Here is a 9,680-nt window from a genome sequence, read left to right as displayed (position 1 = left end):
AGAAAGTGGAGGAGGCTGCTTCAGCTGTCGATTTAGAATGAGCTCTTGGTTTAAGTCCTCACTAGCTGTGTGGCTTTGGCTAAGTTAGCTAACCTCTGAAATGTTCAGCCACCACTCCAGAACCTAAAAAATGTCTTAGGAAGGTTCTGTGAGGAAAGATGGGTGAAAGCATGCAGCACATACTAGGTACTCCCTATGTTTAGCTGAAGTTGAATCTGAGGTTCCTTAGAACAGTGTAGATAGGAGACAGGAAACAGGAGTTTCCTTACAGCTGCTAACAAGAGCAAGACTCCGAGATTTTGCTTTCCTCTCAGGGGGTCTGGCCTTCCACATTGACAGATGAGCAGGAAACCAAGCAGCGGTATAGAGGAGCCTCCAGAAGGTTCCCAAGGGAAGCAGTGTCAGAAATTGTTTTACCATTTAGAAACTCTCCTTGGAACGTCTCTTCTTGTGCTTCTCTTTGAAGAATATAAAAGTTCTAATGAACTGATTTTATGCTAAATTTTATTTGGCTGTTGTTCTCATCAAAGGAACCATAAGAACATGTTATGGGGAGGGTGGGTGGCGTAGAGCCCCGTGGAGAAAGGATTTGACCAGGGAGAAAGGGGCATGGGAAGGGAAGTAGAAGTGTTGAAGTCAACTTCGACTGGACTCACAGCATTCCCCATCCATGGGTTTAGCCCATCGTGTGGGGAGATGAACTTGTGGTGCCCACAAAAGGTGAAAGGTTTGCTTCCAGAGGAACTTATTTGAGCTGGGATGAGTGGCCCATCTCAGTTAAGTGGGGAGCCTGTGTTATCAAAGCGCCCTGAGGAAGGAGGTAAACTTTCCTCATCAGAGTAGGGGGAAATCATTTTAGTAGGAGGAAAATGTGCTGTTTCTATGAAACTAGTCTGTATTGTTTCTCAAAGAAAACAGTCTCACTGTGGCAATAGCAACTCACCAGGAAATCAACTGTGATTCTCATTGATTCCCCTGATTCCCACCCTGCCTAGTGAGAAACACCCACTGTGGGGCAGAGAAATAGCAATAGGGGTGAGTGATGGTTTCCACTGCACCCAATTTGCATGGATACTTTTGCATTTTGAGAGATCTGCTGCCCTGTCATCAGGGTCTCTCCTCTCCTCCCCAGGACCTGGGTCAAGTGTAAAAGCACAGAGAACTTTTCTTGGTCAGTCAGATTCCCTAAGAAAGATGGACTGCTCAGAAGAAAGATGGGGACATAGAATATGAAAAAAAAAGTATGGAAAACTTCTCAGCAGAGAGTAGACAGTAACTTTTGGGATTTGGCAATGGTGGAATGGCTGACATCAGTTCTATGGAGTCACGGAGGCTCATCAACCTCTTGAGACTCTCTCTTTCAACAAGAAGAATGCTGTTTTTCCTTTTGCTGTGCTTTAGTTGCTTGGTGCCCACCATGAAGTGTTAAGTTTACGGAGAGAACGCTTCCAGCTCACACCTATGACTTCCTCCCCTGAGTTGCACATATCCTACTGGAATGACTGGGCTGCAACAGATGTAGGACCATTGGCCACATGGTACCTGTCCTGCTGCTCCCAGATGCCTCCAACATCCTGTTCCTATGATTGGTTCAACTTGCCACCTACACTCAGGCAGGGTGAATTCTTTTTCAGAAGCAGCCATCGCTCCTTGCAACCTGACTTCTGTCACCACATCTTCCCTGACCCAACAAATCCACCAGGACACAAAGTATGCACAGAATCCAAGTTCTATTTTTTACCATTTTCCTCTTTGACCTTCTGTGCAAACCAATCAATCACCAGTGCAAATGGATACGAGAAAGCAGACTATAGTCAAATCCAAACAATTTGCACTCCATACAGATTTTTGCTACATTAAAGGAAAAGAAAATCTACATCAATTTGAAACTGAGAATGATGGCATCAAAATACCACAAATATAATATAAGACACAGTGGGAAAAAGATTGTTTTGTGACAGGGATTGGAGAACCCAGGATCCACCTTTCACAAAGGGAAGCATGTGTGGACAGGAAATGAGTAGGACTCCCCAAACACCCCCAGCCACAGAGAGCAGGAGCTGAAGGTGAAGGCAGTTTATTGCATGGTTGCTGAGAAATAAAAGTATACCAAGACCAGCATGGGAAGCAGCTAACTGTAGCATTTACTCCTAGCTTACTCCTGGAGCAGAGGGCATACTTAGTAAAACACTGGAATGCCTACTGCAGTCATGACATGTCAAAGAGGGAACATTGTCCTAGCTGACTTTGGTTTGAAAAATGAATTCTTCGGTATAGCAAAATCTCACTGTGCTGTACCTCTTAATCTAGCTCTCTTCCTACCCCCAATAGACAAAGCTATCTAAAAAGACAATGTCTACAAACAGAGTCTGTCTAAAGTTTCCCTTCTTCCTTTGTCTGAACCTGAACTGTTTGACAATAATGAAATCACTACAGTCTCTGCGTGAAGCCACTTCATTTTCCAGACCAGAACAAAGTGACATGGCACTTCACTTGGTAAGGTTGAACAAACGAAGAGAAATCCTCCAGCAAGGTAGGACCTACTAGATCAAAGGAAACATACAGGTTAAGATTAAGTGACACCCTGTGGTGGCCATGAAAATGTACCACTCAGATCTCCTGTTGTGTGATGGTCCCAGCTGCTGCCCACAGGCTATTCCAGTCAGTGACTATGCACGAATGCAGCCCCATTCGTGCAAGACAAGGGACTCTTAATAGGTGACTTTGGCTAACAGCCTCACTAGCAGCCTCGCCAAAACCTTCTTAGACCTCTGCTATAGTCTGGGATTCTCCCACTGGCTTCTCCTTCCTTCTCTCTCCTGAATAGGTATCAGATCTTGTGGTTGATAAGGCACTTTGCACCTTCTCTGGTTCCATCTTCTTTAGTCTTCACAGACATTTCCCTAAAAATCCTTTTGCATATCTATTCCTAGCTTGGAGTATGCTGAGCAGAGGATCTGAACTAAAAAACACATGAAACAAAATTGTTAGAAAAAGCATCAGGTTTTGAAGGAAACTGCATAAATTTACAGGCGCTAACCCAAAACCAGGCATGATTACATTCAGATGATATACACAATTGCTTAAAAATTTCCAAATTTTCAAATTTTCCAGAGAGATATGCTGAACAATAGAAGCTACCAACCCAGTTAATCTAAAGGCTGCCTTGTTCTTGCAGAATTTGGGGGAAAAGGATAGATTTAAAAGACATAGAGAACAGACCAGAGAGAGCCAATGCATGCATTATAAGTAAACTTAAGAGAAATAAGATAGAAGATGCAAGGGAGAATTAATCATTAACAATATAAAAAGATAGTTTTTCTGATTCCTTGAGATTAAAGAAGTGACTTTTCTGCTCAAGATTCTAGCAACACAAGAAACAACAGGAGTGAAAAGCCGTGTTTTTCAATTGTCAGAGGGCTCCCAAAGTGAACTATCATGAACTCCAATCATGCTCCCTGCTAGTTTAAGAGCAGAAACAACTCAAAGAGCTGGACTAATTTATGGTTCCTGGTCAGGCATTCTAAGAGACTTAATACCAGCTGTAATGTTGCTAGGAAACCTACCTCTGAAATCATCTATTAAGTGACATGGCAGGACCATTAGTTATAGGCTATCAGATCACAATAAATCATAGGATCTCAATTTGATGTGTTATTAATCTAGGTCAGTCTGAATTTTATAGTTGTAATTTTATGATTTGATGTGTTGTTAGTCTAGGTCAGTCTGAATTTTATTGTTGTGATTTTATAATTTCTTTTAAAAACTAGGTTACTGTGTTTTTTAAAACTTAATATTGAATCTCAAAAGATATCTTTTTAACAAACCCTCTGATAAGACTTTGTTGATGAGACTAGAATATATGACTGGCTGCTTAGGGATAAGGCACAGTATTTGGTAGTGAGAATGTCACCACCATAATTCACTCAGCTCTGCCTAGCCACATGTAGAGCCCATATATAGTTATTGATATCTTCAGGGTTACCTTCAGGTCTGAATTAAAGTAGAATTCTACTATCACATTTCTCTTTGAGGACAATTAGGATATGATATATTCAGTATTGTTTTTTTCCAGAAGGAAGAGATCTAGTTGTTAATCATTAGTATCTTCAGTGCTCATGTCTAAAACTCAAGTGCAAATACATGCCTCTGATGGACAGGAGAAACAGGAGCTAGCAAACAGATTGCAGTTTCAGACTATCATGGTTTAGCCATTACCAGTAGCTATTAATGTGTAAGTTATATTAAAATGTATATGTCTCATTTCACACACAATAGTACCCATGATAATTATACTAAAGGCTCTTGATCCTGATTTTAATAAACTAACCACTTTTTATAGAGTACATTAAAATCCCATACTACATGATTTAAGATATATGCATTTTTTTTCTGGTGACTCAAATATTCCTAGTTAATAAATAGCTATTACCATATAAATACACTATACAGGAATTAACAATTTCAAAGAATTAGGTTTTCAAAGAATTTCCAAAGAATTGGAACAAGATCAATTCAACACTAAAATAATCCTGAAAAAAGTCAATACTTCATATTCGCATTTTCTAGTATAAACTTTTTAAGCCCTGACATTTCATTTTAACAAATCTTTTAACACAATTTTTGTTTTATCAATTTTTAAACTTTTTATCAAGATTTTATTAAATTTGAATAAGAAGGAAAGAAAGGAAGAGAATTGAAGGACGTATTTGATGATTTGTTAAAAGGTATAAATACTAGCTACTCCTTTTCCATGTATAGAACAAGTGGGAGGTAAAAAAAAAGAGTAGTAAAGTTAGGGTGTAAGGAAAGTCTCAGTGAGAAGTATCCCTTTGATTGCCAGCCAGCTGTAGGATTTCAGAAAGGCAAAAATGGACGATTGGAGTTAAAAAAAAAAAATCAAGCTCTGCCCTGATGGTACATGGTAGAAGAGGTACCATAATTGCTACAGGAGTAATTAGAAGGAATTTTGATTTTTGATGAGCTCCTCTCAATGAATAATAAAGTGCCCAGCTATCATTTCTTCCCGTTGGTCAGTGCCTGGACTCTGCCAGTTATGAAATAGTTTGCCTAACACCTCTGTGTTTGAAGAGGGTTGAGATCATCAGCAAAACTAGGCCAATGCAGCTTATTCACTGCATCAAAGCTGTCAGTTAAATGCTTGGAGCTGCAAATAACAGCCACCTTGAGCTAGCTGAAGCAAAGAAATTAAATGGCTTACCTAAGTGTAATCTAGAGGTGGGCAGGCTCCATGCCATTTGCCTATTATTCCCTTTCCTCTGTCCTCATCCTGTGCTGGCTCCCTTCAGGCTAGCAACTAGATGGCTGCAGCAATATTTGCTCTATATGGGTCCACAGCATCATCTAGAGGGAGAGAAACTATTCCTAAGTTTCTCTTTAAATGTTATGAAGCTTTCCTCAGAAAAGCCAAATAACCTTCTCCAAGACAGACCTTGAGTCTCTTTGGTCTGTATTGGGATCCCATACATATTCATGAACCAATCCCATTGTCATTCATTGGCTTAGGGCTGGGTTTCCTAATTCCTGCTAGGGTAATGGTCAATTAGTGTAATAGAACCAAATGGTCAGTGGTATTTGACCATTGGTTCTCCAGGTGTGTGTGTGCCTTAGGATCTCCTGGAGAAACTGACCCCCAAAATTCTGATTCAGTAGGTCTGGGATGAGAACAGAGAATTTGCATTTCTAAACATTTTCCAGGTAATGCTGATGCTTCTGGCCCGAGAACTACCCTTGGAAAAGCACTGGATCTGCCCAATCAGGGTTTAACACAGAAGCTGGAGTTACTTCCCTTAATGCCTGTGTTGCTACACATCAGATAAGGAATAGCGAGGTTGTGAAGGGTCAGTCGTCACATTCTCTGCACTGGCTGCGAGGGGTTCACATGGCGCTCAACATGAGTTTTTGTTCACTTCACTGACATTACCTGGGCTAAGCAGGATATGTCACTCTGAGTTCATGGTGCTCCTCTCTGTGTACAGTAAGATATATATATCTCATTTCCTACCTCCTCCCCTGGTCCTTTCTTCCCCTGTAAACATACAACATTTACCAGGCAGGGTGCTGAGGGTTTAATTTCTACAGGTGACTTATATACAGCCTCATATATGTATGTTTGGGGATTTGGTTGCCTAGAACATTATTCTCTTCATGCTTTAATGGGAATCACCTGGGGATCTTGCATCAATGCAGATTCTGGCTTAGGAAATCTGAGGTGGGGTCTGGGATTCTGAATTCCTAACAAGCTCCCAGGTGATGCTGATGCTGCTGGTACACAGGCCACTCATTGATGATTCCAGCCCAGGAGGCCTCCTCACACTCTATCCTTCCTGGTCATGTTTATTTCCCTTTCCAGAACATACTCTTCCCACCTCCAACTCTATGCCTAGAATCTCTTTGTATATTTTCTTCTCCTAAAAATTACAGTAGCTTTTTTGTTGTACATAGAAGCCCCAACAATGGCATAAACCTCCATTAAACAGCCTTGAGATCCATTTTTAGTAGGTACTCTGGGGTAAGTTCTGAGGTTGAGGTATAAGGAAGACCAAGATGCATTAACATGGGACTAGGGTCCAGGCATCTCAGACCGAGTCAGTGTCCTCCTGGTTGTGTGCTTGATGTCAGGTTGATTAGTCTGACTTTCTGTAAAAAGGTCAGTATAATCTTACGTGAATTGAGAGAAAATTTTTTATTTAGCAGTATCATTCTTAACAAATGCCTCAATCACACTATAGTGAACATTGCAATTTATTACCAAAATATTGTGATATGAGTGATCTGTTTACTCCTAATGCATGGGTCCTGGGCTGGGAGGGGAACATGTTAGCTAGGAGGGAAACAGGGATTCATCACTGTCCTCAGCCTTCCTTTTTGTCTAGTCTTTGCTTAAAAGATTTTATTTAGAAGCCACAGGAGACAGTGGAAATGAATCTCCTCCAAGCCCTCAATGACAGCAATGGATTATGCTCATGAGAAATGATCGCACCTAAGGTAGGCAGGAGGGCCAGTGCAGGTAATCACAGTGCAATTACAGCACTGGGTGAACAGCACTGGGCCAGGCCAGATGATGGATGAGTTTTCTGAAGAATAACAGAATAAGAGTACTTGGCAGCAATGACTAAGGTTTGCTCCTGAACATCAAACATCAAATTGGATTTTCTCAAGAATGAGGTGAAGCACTTCTGCGAGACTACATAAACCACACAGTGTCTTAAAGCAATAACTAAATGGTGCAGATCAAAGAAAGAGAAAAACAAACCTACAGAAGGCCTGGTAGTACTGCACTATTTGGATTGCATCCAGTAGTTCTTGAAATCCCATGAGCAAGAGGAAAGGGAAACGAAAGAAGTGGATGTTGGCTGATAACACGTGATAACACATGTTGAGGAGAATGCCATTAAATATCATGGCCCAGCACCTACTATTCAAGAGTAAGGAAAGGGGTCAGATTCCTGGGTCTATGGATTTCTCAGCAAAGTGGGAAAGGCTGCAAAATTGGCTATATCAGTGGAACAAAAGGAGAGAGAAAAGTGAAGGGAAAGGATGGGAAAGGAGCACGGGTGGATGTTGATAGCGAGATGGGAACTCCAAGGGCTGCACTGCTCCATATTTGGCGGGAGCAGAGATGCAATTTATATACTTAGTGACTGTCACCAATTCTGCACTGAGAGAGCTTAATCTCCACAAAATGGCTCTCTTGTAAATGGCCCTTTTGAATATGAAACACAAGGCTTTGGCCTAGTCTGGGAGGAGAAGGTTGAGGCAAGGCAAAGACAAATTGCTCTGCTTACTAGTGAAACAGAAGTCTTGAATGTTTAATGGAAAGTGAGAGCCCTGAAACTGAGAGGAGAGAAGAGAGGAAAGAGAAGCGAGTTGGTAAAGTGGTAGGAGGCCAGGTCCCATAAGGAGGGACATACTAGTAAATTTTCTCTGCTTTAGAGGATGGTGGAGAAATCGTATTGGGAATAGAAACTTCCGACTAGCAACTAGAATTTGTTCCTGTAAATCCTCTGATATCCCTCAAATACTTTTGGTAGAAATCTATTAGACACACTTGCCTCGTATTCATGACAGCTTGGGGGAAATAATATTTAAATGAAGTCAGTATATCTCTGACCCCAGTTGAAATTGTATGAGCTAACAGATTACCAATGGGAAACAGAAAATCTCAGATAAGGGGTGGGGCCTTGATAAACATTTCCAATATACCAGCTATACATAGCACACAAGAGGCTTTAAAAGGTCTTTTTAGGTTTTGCTGTTATTGTTATAAATATGTAATTAATATTGGTCAGACCCCTGGAGTATAAATAGCCTTTACAATTTTGAGAGTTACATGGTTAAGAAGCCAGGGAGGCTGTTTCAATGAAGTGACACATTGTGTTCATACCTTTAAATAATGACAAGGGAAGAAATAATTTTCAACAGGCCCCAGTCTGGAAATACTCCTGCTGAAGCTTATAAAGCTGTCACCAGCATGAGCAGAAAGTGAAGCAGTAGTGAAACACGGGGTGGCAGGTGGTGTCCTCACAGGGAAAGAGGGCTTGAGGACCATGAAGTAATGTTTCTAATAACCAGGACAATCATTCTGCAAAGAGCATTAGAGATGCTAGTGTCCTTAACGGCTCCAGTTCAGGAATGAATGGATAAGGATTAACATGGCAACTGTGGAGATGAAAGCATGCTGTGACTAGGAAAAGGGGCCCTGATAAAAGAAAGAGACTGGGCTGGGCACAATGGCTCATGCCTGTAATCCCAGAACTTTGGGAGGCCAAGGCAGGCTGATCACCTGAGGTCTGGAGTTTGAGAACAGCCTGACCAAAATGGAGAAACCCCGTCTCTACTAAAGATACAAAATTAGCCAGTCATGGTGGCACATGCCTGTAACCCCAGCTACTTGGGAGGCTGAGGCAGGAGAATCGCTTGAACCCGGAAGGCAGAGGTTGCAGTGAGCCGAGATCATACCAGTGCATTCCAGCCTGGGCAACAAGAGCAAAACTCCATCTCAAAAAAAAAAAAAAGAAAAGAAAAAAGAAAGAGACCAGCTTGGGGACAGGAGAAGTAGAAACAGAAGAGCTCTGAAGAGACAGAGGAATTCTAGAAGGACAGGGCAGATCAGACCAGAGCAGAGATTTTTACAATTCTTGGTGGAGACTGAGAAATTTATATCAGAAGTCACCATGTGTCATTTATACTTTGTGGTGTAATTTTGCTTGAATTGTCTTCATAGTGAGTTATGTATATAGTTCTCATTCCAATACCAAAATATAGGCTCTGTCATTTTCAACAAATTTTCTGTGCTGTTATCGTAGATGCTTGGGTTGCGGAAGCCCTCCAGCTGTTGATAAAATGCTAGTAAAAATATTAAATATGTAAATATGCTTTGTGGAAATCATATTGCCAGCCCTTTTTGCTTCTAAAAGTTATTGCTTGCCTTTCTTCAGTGAGGGGAGACTACGTAAGGGAAATTGTATTTTAAGGAAATCTGAAACTCCATATCCTAACATAAGGTAAACAAAGTATTGCTGAATATACTTTCTCAGGAAAGATTAAGGAAAAGTATTCTAGGAAAAAAAGTGAACAAAGGACATAGATAAGTTATAATAGACAAGATACAAATGGCTAAGAAACACATGAAAAACAATATTTAGGCTCACCACTAC

At 41.0% G+C, this 9,680-nt stretch overlaps 2 annotated features.

The window, feature by feature from the left end:
• Window positions 2,139-2,969: an enhancer, noted in NCBI's record as "OCT4-NANOG hESC enhancer chr7:34264670-34265500 (GRCh37/hg19 assembly coordinates)". NCBI's record gives its function as "activates a minimal SCP1, AML or CMV promoter by ChIP-STARR-seq in naive and primed H9 embryonic stem cells {active_cell/tissue: H9 hESC(naive and primed)}" and the evidence as "EXISTENCE:reporter gene assay evidence [ECO:0000049][PMID:30033119]".
• Window positions 8,384-8,938: an enhancer, noted in NCBI's record as "OCT4-NANOG hESC enhancer chr7:34258701-34259255 (GRCh37/hg19 assembly coordinates)". NCBI's record gives its function as "activates a minimal SCP1, AML or CMV promoter by ChIP-STARR-seq in naive and primed H9 embryonic stem cells {active_cell/tissue: H9 hESC(naive and primed)}" and the evidence as "EXISTENCE:reporter gene assay evidence [ECO:0000049][PMID:30033119]".

This window comes from Homo sapiens, chromosome 7 (assembly GCF_000001405.40).
Source record: "Homo sapiens chromosome 7, GRCh38.p14 Primary Assembly".
NCBI classification, from domain to species: domain Eukaryota; kingdom Metazoa; phylum Chordata; class Mammalia; order Primates; family Hominidae; genus Homo; species Homo sapiens.
This window is presented reverse-complemented; position numbering and strand designations above follow the sequence as displayed.